The 13,574-nt window shown below is 38.7% G+C and overlaps 1 protein-coding gene across 3 annotated transcripts in view; it reads left to right on the top strand.

The window, feature by feature from the left end:
• CDK6 (cyclin dependent kinase 6) overlaps nt 1-13,574 on the top strand; it is a 231,653-nt gene that overhangs the window by 158,837 nt on the left and 59,242 nt on the right. For all 3 annotated transcript variants that reach the window (NM_001145306.2, NM_001259.8, XM_047419716.1), the window contains exon 5: nt 6,202-6,311. In NM_001145306.2, the coding sequence (NP_001138778.1) occupies nt 6,202-6,311 (110 nt within the window). The remainder of the gene's footprint in view (nt 1-6,201; nt 6,312-13,574) is intronic.

Here is a 13,574-nt window from a genome sequence, read left to right as displayed (position 1 = left end):
ATTAACAAATTAAAACTGGGGATGCTCTCTTGATATATAGAATAATATTACATAAACCAGGAAACAACTATTAGAAAATGCTATTCTTTTATATCTATTGCAAAATATAGTAGTTTGTTTTCCTTTTTTTTGAGACAGTCTTGCTTTTCACCCAGACTAAAGGGATACAATCTCACTGCAACCTCCACCTCCCAGGTTCAAGCAATTCTCCTGCCTCAGCCTCCCTATTAGCAGGGATTACAGGCGTGTGCCACCACACCTGGCTAATTTTTTTTATTTTTAGTAGAGACAGGGTTTCGCCATGCTGCCCAAGCTGGTCTTGAACTCCTGACCTCAAGTGATCCGCCTGCTTCAGCCTCCCAAAGTGCTGGGATTACAGGCATGAGCCACCACGCCTGGCCCAGTAGTTTGTTATTTTTAAATGTAGGCCCAGGTCATTGATGGGGTTATTTTATTAGAGAATTAACTAGAAATGTAAGTCTTGAACAATTTATACTTTCTTTTGGAATTGAATTCCTCAAAGATTGAACCAAAAATGATGTCTCTTTAGACAGATGTTGATAGTTTAAAATAGAGTGTAAGCATAAAGTTAGTCTAATTTCACTCTCACTTGGTTACAATGATTTACACAGACTAGAGCAAAATCTTAAGGATAAAAACGAGATATCTAAATTTTAGCTTTCATTGAACTTATTAAATGTGAAGTGATGAGTAGATGTCATATCATATAGAGAACTGGAAAGTAATGGAAACGCTTTTCTTTCTTTTTTTTTTTTTTTTGAGACGGAGTCTCTCTGTCGCCCAGGCTGGAGTGCAGTGGCGCGATCTCAGCTCACTGCAAGCTCCGCCTCCCGGGTTCACGCCATTCTCCTGCCTCAGGCTCCCCAGTAGCTGGGACTACAAGCGCCCACCAGAGTTGTAAATTTTGCAACTCTGTGAAAAGTCAGTGAAATTATCACTAGTTTTGATTTTCACTTCACAAAACCATACTAGTTTTCTTTAGGGAGAAAAACATATGTATTAGAAAGTTTTGTATTGCTCTGATGCAAATAAACAGATTAGAGCACAGTTTAGAAAACCTTCACTTTGACAAAATAAAGATTCTGAAGTATTTCAAAGATTATATTTATATTCCTTATAAACCATTATCTATGTTTGCATTTGAGATACTGGGGGAAGGAAAACAGAAACTCAACTCTCTTTTAGAGTTTGACAAATGAAGTATAGAAAAATATAAGTAAGGATTTATATAAGACAAACCCTTATCAATAAAGAACTTTACAAAGACAGTACTTCCATTACACTCCCAGAACAAAAACCAAGTATATACATCATTTTAAAGAAAACAACAATAAATCCTACCAAGTAGAAATTGTACAGATCATAGTCTCTGTTGTAATTCAATAAAAGTAGAAATTCAACCATTCAAAGATAGCCATAAATAACCTGACCATATGGACATCTTAAAACACTTTTCTAAATTAAAGATAAATTACATAGTATTTAAAGATGAGCAAAAATGAGAAAAGTTTATCTACAAATATGTAGTTAGCATTTTATTATTAATTAAAATGGAAAAGAAATGAGCTAAATTTTAACTCAAAAAAAAACTCAACAACAACAAAGAAATTAGGAGAAAATTTTAAAAGATAAAAATAGAAATCAACAAATTATAAAATAAAACAATAATCCTCCCAAAATGGAAATAAAATTATGTCAGTTTTTTTATATAAATAATATGGCTAAACTTCTGACAAACCTGACAGATATAAAGAGAAAACAAAAATTTACAACATTAAGAAAAAGAAAATCAGTATAACCAAGGAAACAGATGAAATTAAAATGATTATAAGAAATACTATGTTCAAATTTAAGTCAATACATTTTTAAATCTAGATTAAGAATGTTCGTAGGAAAATCCTTTATCATTACGAAAATTGGCTTCTAAAGAGGTTGAAAGCTGAGCAGACTAATTACCAAGAAGAAATTCAAAAGACCGTTAAGACACACTGCTAACAAAGATCCAGACAGCTCTATGAGCGAGATTGTTTGACCCTCAAGAAACTGATTATTCTTCTGTTGTTTGTACTATTCCAGAATATAATAAAGATTGGAAGCTTGAATATCCCTGATAACAAAACATGAAAAATTAACACAAAAAAGAAAACTACAGATCAGCCTCATTTATGAATATAAGTCAATATCCTGAATAGATACTAGCAAATAGAATTTCAGAGTGTCTTAAAAGAATAATACACAATCAGAAATGATTTATTCCAAGAAGGCAAGGATGCTACAATATTGGGAAATCTGTTAATGTAACTAATACGTCATTAATAAAACAAAGGCAAATGATTATATGGTCATTATTAATAGACATTTTAAAAAGCATTTGATAAAAATTCATTCTACATTTTGAGTGGTAACTAAATTTTAAAAGGAATAGAGGGAATTTCCCTAACATATCAATATTGTTATTATGATTTTGACTGTCTATACATTTATTTATCATAATAGGTATAACTGACTGAAGTATTGAAAATGAAGACAGTCAGCCTTACTAAAGTTTTTTAGGATGGGTAATCAATCAGAAACCAGTTTCTTGCTGAGCACAGTGGCTCACACCTGTAATCCCAGCATTTTGGGAGGCTGAGGTGGGCAGATCACCTGAGGCCAGGAGTTCATGACCAGCCTGGCCAACATGGTGAAACCCTATCTCTACAAAAAATACAAAAATATTAGCCAGGTGTGGTGGCGTGTGCCTGTAGTCCCAGCTACCTGGGAGGCTGAGACACGAGACTCGCTTCAGCCTGGAAGGTGGACATTGCAGTGAGCCAAGATCGCACCATTGCATTCCAGTCTGGGCAACAGAGCAAGACCCTGTCTAAAAAGAAAAAAGAAAGAAATAATATTTTCCTTAGAACAGCTTAAAATAAGGCTGTATTCAGATTAAACTTTTCTTTTTATGTTGCTAGACTTTATTTTGAATTGAGGTAGAAAGATAAGTGTGTGCCTTCATGATATCTGTGTATTTCTGTCAACCACTCAAGTGGAACCTTACAGACAGTTTGCACCTGCAGTTTTGTTTACAGTGTGTCAGGGAAGCAAAGAAGTGTTCCTCCAGCTAGAAATATTAATAAAGCAGAAACAAGTAATGTAACTAAAACTAGACCCCAGTATTGGACACTCTTCTTAGCAAAAACAATACCTTCCCTTTTGGAAATGACTGGTCATTGAATTTTGCCCAGTTATCTTTCTAGGAATGATTGCCTTAAAAGGATTAATTTGATAGGTGTATAAGCCCTTATTGTTGTGTTTACAGTACTGTGATAGGCATTTACAGATATAAACATAGATTAAGGCAGGGCCATGTCCTCAGGAACAAACCATATTATGAGCTATGTTACAAGGTATGATTTTCAGATAGCAGCTGGTGCTGCAACAGGGTGGTGCTGGCATCTAGGCTAGGCCTTGTAGAATAGGTGAAATTTACATATGTGGAGAGGAGAAAGAAGAGTTGCCCAGGCTAGGAAAATGATATAAACAAAAGCATGGAGACAAGAGCGATGGGATATGCTTGCATAATCTAGTGGTGTTCAAACATAGCCAAGGGTGAGGATTAGTTGAAGAACTCAAAAAAAAAAAAAAAGAAGAAAGGGGGAGGCGCAGTGGCTCATGCCTGTAATCTTATCACTTTGGGAGGCTGAGGCAGGCAGATTGCCTGAGCTCAGGAGTTCGAGACCAGCCTGAGCAACATGGTGAAACCCCGTCTCTACTAAAATACAAAAAAAATTAGCCGGGTGTGGTGGCGTGCGCCTGTAGTCCCAGCTACTCAGGAGGCTGAGGCAGGAGAATTGCTTGAACCCGGGAGGCGGAGGTTGCAGTGAGCTGAGATCATGCCACTGCACTCCAGCCTGGGCAACAGAGCAAGACTCCATCTCAAAAAGAAAAAAAAAAAGGAAGGAACAAAAGAGGAAAACTCCAACCCAAAAAGTTCAGCCCACAGAAAGTCTAATTCAGTGGCACAAGATAAGACCTATACACCTAAGTTTTTCTAAAACCCCATGGGGATTTTGATGAACAGGCAGGGTTAAAAACCAGTGGTGCAGTATAGATGTGACTAGGATATAAAGGCTATGGAAGTTCTATGGGAGGTGATGCATTGATGGAAAATACTCTGGGAGGTGATGCATTGATAGAAAGATATGTTGGGGCCAAATGGTAACTTGAGTAACATTGTTTCAGTATTGTCAGTTTTGTGTTTTGTTTTTTATTTCTATTATATCACAACCATCCCTCCATTAGATATCAACCAGTATTACTTAAACAAAACTTGACCCATGTGTGAATTCAAAGCAAAATATGTTAGATGAGATATAGAGGGGGAACCTGTCAAGAATCTTTTTCCAATTTGATGTTGCCATATAATCATCTAAAGACTTAAAACGGTCATTTTATTATCACTCATAATCTTGTCAGTTGACCGGACTCAGCTGGCAGTTCTGCTCTGTGTGACATTGTCTGGGACTGCAGTTATATGGGAGGTCAGTTGGCTTGAATGTCCAAGATGGCTCATTCGCAGGCTTTCAGCTGAGAGCTCAACTGGGGCTGTCAACCAGGGCATCTTCATGGGCTTCTCACAGCATGACAGCTGGGTTCCAAGAGGTAGCATCTCAAGAGAAAAGGCCTAGGCTCAGGCTTCTTATGACCTAACATTGGTAGTCTCAGACATTACGTCTACCATATTCTGTAGGTCAAGTAAGTCACTAAGGCCAACTCAGATTCAATGGAAGATGAATAAAATCCATCCCTTGATACGAGCAACAGTGTGTGCAAATAAGGAGAGAAGGAAATTGATGGCAGCCGCCATTTATTGAGACTTGCTACTGCAATCTTAGCACACCAAGTAATATAGCATCAAAATATATAAAGCAGAATTTTAGAAAATTTAGATAGACATCCATAATAATACAACTAGACAAAACAATAAGGATAAAAGGGATCTGAATAATATAAAATTCTGACGTAATAGATTTATATTCTGAATTCCTTATCTGACAATAAAGAATGCACCTCCCAGGGTATCCATAGACTATCTGCCCCTTCCCCCACAAAAGGAATCACTTGAACCCCCCCTATGTACTCAAATCTGCAGCCTTAACATGATATGCTTTCTTCAGCCCTCAACCTGGCAGGAAAAATTGTTGTGTTTGTTTCATCTATTACTATACGCTGCTCTGTATTAAATGAGTTTCTTGTCTTTTTGGAATCCCTTCCTCTGCTTGGCTTTTTCACACATCATATGAACAATTGGGTTACACATTCTCTCTTAAGTTCTTCCCCACTTTTTACTTGTTTTCTGAAAAGAGCATCATGGAGAGGGGTTTTACTTTGATTCCCCAAGCTGTCACGGTAAGAGCAGTTTTGACATGTCCTGGGTGTTGTGTAGACTTCAGGGACACCATCCAGCAGCCCTGGCACCATCTTCATATATGTGTGTGTGTGTGTGTGTGTGTGTGTGTGTGTGTGTGTGTGTGTGTGTGTGTATGTGTCTGTGTGTGTGTGTGTGTATGTGTATATATATATATATATATATATATATGTACAGCTTTTGGGGTACAAGTGGTTTTGGGTTACATGGATGAATTGTATAGTGATGAAGTCTGAGATTTTAGTGCCCCCATCACCCAGGTAGTGTACATTTTACCCAGTATGTAGTTTTTTCTCCTTCACCCCTTTCTCTACCCTCCCCCTTTCTGAGTCTCCAAAGTCCATTACACCACTCTGTATGCCATCATCTTCTAATCTGCCAATAATGCTGGCCTGGGGATTGAGCTGTAATTGTTGCCATCACCTGTTTTCCATGTATTATTTTTTAAAGGCCCTTAAAGGGGGGGAGAAAAAAAACGGTTTCTAAGTTTAAAAAAAATTTTTTTGGTCTTTGCTTTCTGAAACTCATGTTATTATGCCATCCTAGTTAGACATAGAGTTGGAGGTGGGAACCCAGTTTGTGGGGATGATGTAATTTCCTGGCCTGTCAGTGATGAGTCCTATTTACCTATTGCTTCTAGCGCAGTGTCCTTATATGATTTATAGGAGTTCTTTCTGAACTACATCTTGTCATTAAACCACCAGGTTTAGTCAGGAGTCTAAGCCAACAGCCACCTTCTCAGTAACACTTGGATCCGCTTGCCATTGCAGGTCGTCACGCTGTGGTACAGAGCACCCGAAGTCTTGCTCCAGTCCAGCTACGCCACCCCCGTGGATCTCTGGAGTGTTGGCTGCATATTTGCAGAAATGTTTCGTAGAAAGTAAGAAATACATTTTGTTTCACTCTGCTTTCCTTGAAAAGAGACTGTGGATCTTTGTGAATTTGAGTGGCAGCATGGCATTTCTATCATTAGGGGTCATGATGGCCAGATCCATCTACCCCAGGCTACCACTTGCAAGCCTGTCCTGAAACCGCCTTCTCAGTGCTTACAGTGTTGTTTTATATGACTGTAGCTTGCAGCTTCTGGAAACTCTGCCTGGGAAGGAATACCCCACTGTTCTTATAAGTTACATTGTTTTACTGGTGATGATAGGACATGGTGAAAATAACACATATTTTCGCATTTTTTTAGTGAAGAAATATCTCAAAGTGGACTTTATCCATAGGAGGAGAACCAAGGCTGTTAAGTGTATGAAAACTTTTTTGATGGAATTTTGATAGTGAGAATAGTTGAAAAAAACAATATTTAGGCTGAAAAAGAATAGGCAGTGGGGATGTCAGTGCTACTTCAGAGCACTTTAAATGCTGCCGTGTACAGGAGAGATTAGATATATTCAGGTACTATAGAGGACAGAAACAAGACCAAGGATACAGAAATTACAAAAAGAAAGATTTTTGTTAAAAGGGGTAGAAATCTAATGATTAGACAGTTATCTGAAGAGTGGATTGGGGTTTGTGAGAATAGTGAGTTTTCATTGTGTGTCTAAGAAGAGGCTGGACCTCCACACATTGGTGATGTTTCAGTAGCATTTATAGGGTTGGTGCGTAGGCTAGATGCCCTCTAAGTTCCCTCTAAGAGAGCATGTGATTCGTTTGTTTGATTTTCAGGTCACAAGAAATAGCCAAATAATATAATAAAGATCTGCCAGGAAAATAATCCATATCTGGGTACTAAGTTCAGCCTAGTCTAAATTAAACAGAGAACCTAATCATAATCTAATCTTTTTTTTCTTTTCTATTTTTATTTCCATGGGAAAAGGTAAGTTAGGAAACAGTATATTCCCATTGTATCTTTAAAATGTAGCTCCATGGTAGCTCACAAGGAAAAGAAGTGGTCAGCCATTGCTTGCTTGTTGTTTGGTTGGTTTTAACCAAACAAAGTTTTGTGCATGTAACAAATTTTTGGAACTGTTGCTAGTACTCAGCAAATTCATCTGTGGCTCATAGGATAGGAGATCATCACAAGGAGATCAGAGTAAACAGATGTTTAATGCAGCCATACCATGTGCCAAGTATAGTGTCAAACCTCTTCTTTTATGCTACCTTTCTTAGTCCTACCAATAAGAACAAACTGAGATGGAGTGGTACATTTATTTGTCTAACATTAGGCAGCTAAGAAGTAGCAGGGGTATGAGTCCAAAGGAAGCTTGCAAGTTCTATTCTGGTGTTGCTTTTTTCCCAAGGAGCGGGGAGAAAAAGTAATACTGAAATCAGCTGCAGTGTTTGCCAAACAGGCTAAATTAGTGATTTTGAAAGTATGGTCCCTGAACCAGGAACCTCAGCATCACCAGGCACCTTGCTGGAAATGCAAATTCTCAGGCCCCACCCCAGACCTATTGGTTCAGAAGTTCTTGGGCTGGGAGCCAGCAACCTGTGTTTCAACAAGTCCTCCGATCCTAATACAGCCTCCAGGATAAGAACCCCTGGGTTGGATGACAGTATGACCAGGGATGGGCAGTCTTTAAAAGTCTGGCTCCCAGGCCTCTCCCTTGAGATTCTGATTCATTACTGGGCTGGGGCCAGGAATTCTTATTTTTAAAAGTACCTTCAGCGATTCTTTTCATCCAACAAGTGTAGAAGACATTGGGTTAAAGGCTTATGGTTAGAACCAAGAATAATTTACTGTCAATAGAGCAGAGTAGGAGTTAAGACAGTCATTCTACTTCATCGCAGGAATAACTCGGTACAGCCAAGAGTTGATTACAGAAATGCTTATTGGAATTATCTTTATGTGTCTAGAATAGTCTCAACTGTAAAGACAGAGTCCTTCAACAATTACAGACTTGAATACTAGTCATGATTGATGCTAAAAGTCAATTTTTTTAAGATGTTAAAAGAAAGATAAAATTTTATATATGTAGAATTAAGTATTCACTACTAAGGAATTTGCTGTATAGGCAATCTCCATTTGTGGAACAAATTTTATTTTAAAATGTTAAAAGCATTTTCCACTGAAGTGATAAGTGGTCACTGGATTCCAAGCCTAGCTTGCAGAATCCTCTACGACCTGGAACATATACAAAACACCCATTGTGCTAATTCATCAAAATTTTTTCTTCTGTGGGAAAATTCATTCTATGTTCCAATCCAAGACTAGAGGAATACTTATCTCTCCATCTCAGCATTGGGACTGAGAAGTAGGACTCAAATATTGGAGGCTCAGGGGAGGGTTCCTTTGATGATAGTGGCAGCAGTCTGCTTCAGTTTGCTGGAAAAGTGAGACATTGGGTAGAGATCCTTTGGCACTTCAAATGTGCACATAAGAAAGTACCCTTTCTCCAGAAGCCTTGCACAAAAATAGTAATTTGAGAAATAATTGCTTGAAGGAGGAAGCAGTATCAGAAACCAGGTTCATATGCCTTTAAGGCTGAAAGGAGAGTGAATCAAGGCCAATCATACCATCCCTCCTAGGGTGGCTACCCTGTGTCCTTGGTATTTCCTATGATACCCCCCAGATATCCATGTGTCATGCTTCTTACTTATGCCAGATGAGTTCTGGGGTCCATCACCAGCTTGACCTGGTTCTGACTTGACTCCTGATTCAGTATTGACCCAGTTGAGACTTCACAAGCCATAGGCTCTTAAAGCAGACTCATTCATTGCTTTAGGCTAATCCTAAATCAGGGAATCCTAGCATCTTTTATTTTTTGTAGAGATGGGGGTCTCACTGTGCTGCCCTGGTTGTCTTGAACTTCTAAACTCTGGGTACCCACTTGATGCTAAGGCAGTAGTTACCAAATTTTGTCCTTTCTTTATCACCTTCATTGTTTTTGCCATATTCTTATGAGACTGGTACTATTATTTACGTAGGTTTTTTTTACTACTCTCTGTCAGTTTACTTTTTTATTTAGCCTCATCCTAAACAAAAGTACAGTCATGTGTTGCTTAACGACAGGGTTATGTTCTGAGAAATGCATTGTTAGACAGTTTTGTCATTTTGCGAACATTGTCGAATGTACTTACATAAATCTAGATGGTGTAGCCTACTACACACCTAGGTTATATGGTATAGCTTATTGCTCTTAGGCTGCCAATCTGTATGACATATTATCATACTGACTACCATAGGCAATTGTAACACAATGGTAAGTATTTGTGTATCTAAACATAGAAAAGATACAGTAGAAATATGGTATAAAAAATAAAAAATGATTTACCTATATAGAATGCTTATCATGAATAAGGCTTGCAGGACTGGAAGTTGCTCTGGGTGAGTCAGTGAGTGAGTGGTGAGTGAATTGAAGGCCTAGGATGTTACTGTACACTGCTGTAGACTTTATAAACACTGTACACTTAGGCTACACTAAATTTATCTAAAAATATTTTTCTTTCTTCAATAATAACAACCTTGGCTTACTGTAACATTTTTACTTCATAAACTTTTTAAATTTTTTGGCCGGGTGCAGTGGCTCACGCCTGTAATGCCAGCACTTTGGGAGGCTGAAGCAGGTGGATTGCTTGAGCTCTGGAGTTCGAGACCAGCCTGGGTAACATGGCGAAACCCTGTCTCTACAAAAAAGACAAAAATTAACCAGACATGGTGGTGTGTGCCTGTAGTTCCAGTTACTTGGAAGACTGAGTTGGGAGGATCACTGGAGCCCAAGAGAGGCAGAGGTTGCAGTGAGCCAAGATCACACCACTGCACTCCAGCCTGGGCAACAGAAGGAGGCCCTGTCTCAAAAAAAAAAAAAAACTTTTTAAATTTTTTAACTTTTTGATTCTTTTGTAATGACACATCTTAAAACACAAGCAAGCCAGATGCAGTGGCTCACTGTAACCCAACACTTTGGGAAACCAGGGCAGGAGGATCACTTGAGTTTAGAAGTTCAAGACCAACCAGGGCAACATAGTGAGACCCCCATCTCTGCAAAAAATAAAAAATTAGCTGAACATGGTAGCACACATCTGTAGTACTAGCTACTCCGGAGGCTGAAGTGGGAGGATCACTGGAGCCCAGGAGTTCAAGATGACAGTGAGCTAGGATCATGCCACTACACCCTAGCCTAGATAACCTTGTGTCTAAAAAAAATAAATAAATAAACACAAAAACATTATACATCTATACAAAATCTTTTCTTTATATCCTCATTCTATAAGCTTTTTTATTTTTAAATTTTTTATTTTTTTACTTTTTAAACTTTTTTGTTAAAAACTAAGAAACACACAGATTAGCCCAGACCTACACAGAATCAGGATGGTCAATATCACTGTCTTGCCTGTCCACTTCTTGTCCCACTAGGAGGGCTTCAGGGGCAATAACATGCATGGAACTGTCATCCCCTGTGATAACAATGCCTTCTTCTAGGATACCTCGTGAAGGGCCTGGCTGAGACTGTTGTACAGTTAACTTCTTTTTATAAGTAGTAGTACACTCTAAAATAATGATAAAAGTATAATATAGTAAATACATAAACCAGCAACAGAGTCTTGTATTAGCAAATATTATGTACTGTATATAATTATATGTGCTATACTTTAATATGACTGGCAGCGCAATAGGTTTGTTTACACCAGCATCACCACAGACATGTGAAGTGAGTAATGCACTGCACTACAATAACGTTAAGATGGCTAGGAGATAGGAATCATTCAGCTTCATTATAATCTTTTAGGACCACCCTCACATATGTGGTTCATTCATTGTTGACCAAAACGTTATTATGAGGGTCATGGCTGTGTATAAAAATCAGAGATTTGACCGGTTATTTATTTGTCTGATACACATTAGAATAAATATATAACCACTAAAACTATTCAGAAAGTTCATGCATGTTTATCCCCTAAATCATCTCACATGTCACCAACAGTAATATGTCACATGTTGGAAACCCTATAACAAGTGTTCCATTCAGTCCACAATTAACTTATGGAGTGACTGTTGTATGCCAGGCCCACTTCTAGAGGGGTGACTTAAATCCTAGTAGAGAAAAAATCCATTGCCTGCACAATTAGTTAATTAACCAGAGGTGGGATAAATGCTGTGAAGAAGTGTAGAGTACTGTGAGTGGGTATAATGACAAGTCTGTTTTTGGAGAGGGAAGATTTCTCAGTGGAAGGCCAGCAGTTGGGATTAACCTTCTTTAGAGGTCGCATCCTAGTTGTTTATTTAAAATCTTTGAGGAATAGTCATTTATGTGTCAGCGAGGCTCACCATCCTCCATAACCTAGGGAGAAGAAAAGAAGCAAAGGGAGTTACCATTTGTCATGTGACAGGCCCATGCCTTGGCAGTTGGGGGTTGGGGGCACCTTCATGTGCATTATCTGCTTAAACCCCTATTCTGAAGACTTCTTTCCAGAGCTTACAGATAATGAACTAGACCTTCCACAAGGAGGGTGAATAACTTGCCCATGGGCATACAACAATCAAATGACAGAGCCAAGACCCCATGTCTGCCTGACTCGATCGCCTTTGATTTTTCTACTCTGCTGGGTTTCTGCCATTGCTGTTGTTTGACCTACTAGGCCATATTTTTTTCTGTAATGATTTGTGTATTACTGTGATGTAGCAGCAATGATATTTTAGAGTGGTCAAGAAGCAAATCACACATGTATTTAATAGCTTTGATTTAGAATCTGTCCTGTATTGGAAAGGTTGGCCAATTCTCTGTCATATTATTAAGAGGTGCATGTCTTTTGTTCAAAAATGAAATACCTAGGAAATATAAACTCAGTAAAGAGAGTCATAGGGCAGATGGTTGACAAAGAGCCAGAGAGTTTAAATATCATCTGTCACTGTTATCTGGGTTTAATAACTGCCCACACTGGCCCACAGAAGTATTCTACAAAATGGGTAAGAGCTACATTTTTTTATCTTTCTCCTTTAATTCTTCATCCAGAGTAACCCATCCTTACTCCACATTGAATTGTATTTTAATACTAAAAAAAAATTGTTATAAATTTGGTTAGTGGCCAACTAGTCAGCTTAAAGGATGAGATTGGATGGATGGATGGATGGATGGATGGATGGATGGATGGATGATTGGATGGTTGTGATAGATTGATTTTTAACTATACAGCAAAATAAATTCACAGTATTAACTCCCCAGGTATCTATTGGTTGCCTTGTAATCCTAGTTAGAACTGTCTGTAGTTTGAAAGTTATGGGGTTTTCCAGGTTACAGCAAAGTCACATAAAATGCACATTTAGAAAATAAAACATGCGGCCAGGCGTGGTGACTCACACCTGTAATCCCAGCACTTTGGGAGCCCAAGGTGGGTGGATCACGAGGTCAGGAGATCAAGACCATCCTGGCTAATACAGTGAAAACCCGTCTCTATTAAAAATACAAAAAATTAGCTGAGCGTGGTGGCATGCTCCTGTAGTCCCACCTACTCGGGAGGCTGAGGCAGGAGAATCGCTTGAACCCAGGAGGTGGAGGTTGCAGTGAGCTGAGATCGTGCCACTGCACTCCAGCCTGGGTGACAGAGTGAGACTCAGTCTCAAAAAAAAAAAAAGGAAGAAAAAAGAAAATAAAACATGTTTCTTTGAATACGAAGATTGTGGCAAGCAGATAGTAATTCTTAGAAGTTCTGAGTTGCCAGCTCTGCCAATCCATAGCTAAGAAATGCCAAATGCCACCAGGAAGAATATAACAAATAGAGTCACTGTTAGAAGGAAACAAACAAGGCTTCCTGATTTGTCATATATTGCCTCTTGTCTGGTGGCCTCTCTAGGCTTGTCGTCATTGATTTCTATGAATTAAACACCAGTAGCTGAGAAACTGACAGTGAAACTGTCCTTTGTGGGTCAGTGGTCAGTGAGCAAATGTCTTTAAAATGTCACTGACTACCTTGCCAATTTTCCCATTGGTTACTGTGTTGGTGCCTCCCCATAGTTGAGCACCCTCCCTAGTGACATCCAGGAAATGAGGTCCTTCACAAGCTGACCTGAACACCAGGGTGCCAGAAGGCACGCCCTAGCCTGTGAGAAGAAACCCATCATTTCAGGTTAGGTCGAAACACGTGCATGGAAACCAGGGCACTTTAGACTTTCAGATTTCTTACCTTTTGTTGGATATTTTCCTAGACTCTGTTTTTGTTTTTTTTTTCTTCCTTTAAAGAACCAGCCAAATGGGAAGATCTC

The sequence above is a fragment of the Homo sapiens genome, chromosome 7, assembly GCF_000001405.40.
Source record: "Homo sapiens chromosome 7, GRCh38.p14 Primary Assembly".
NCBI lineage: Eukaryota > Metazoa > Chordata > Mammalia > Primates > Hominidae > Homo > Homo sapiens.
Note: the sequence above shows the minus strand (reverse complement) of the source record. Positions and strands in the feature narration are given on the sequence as shown.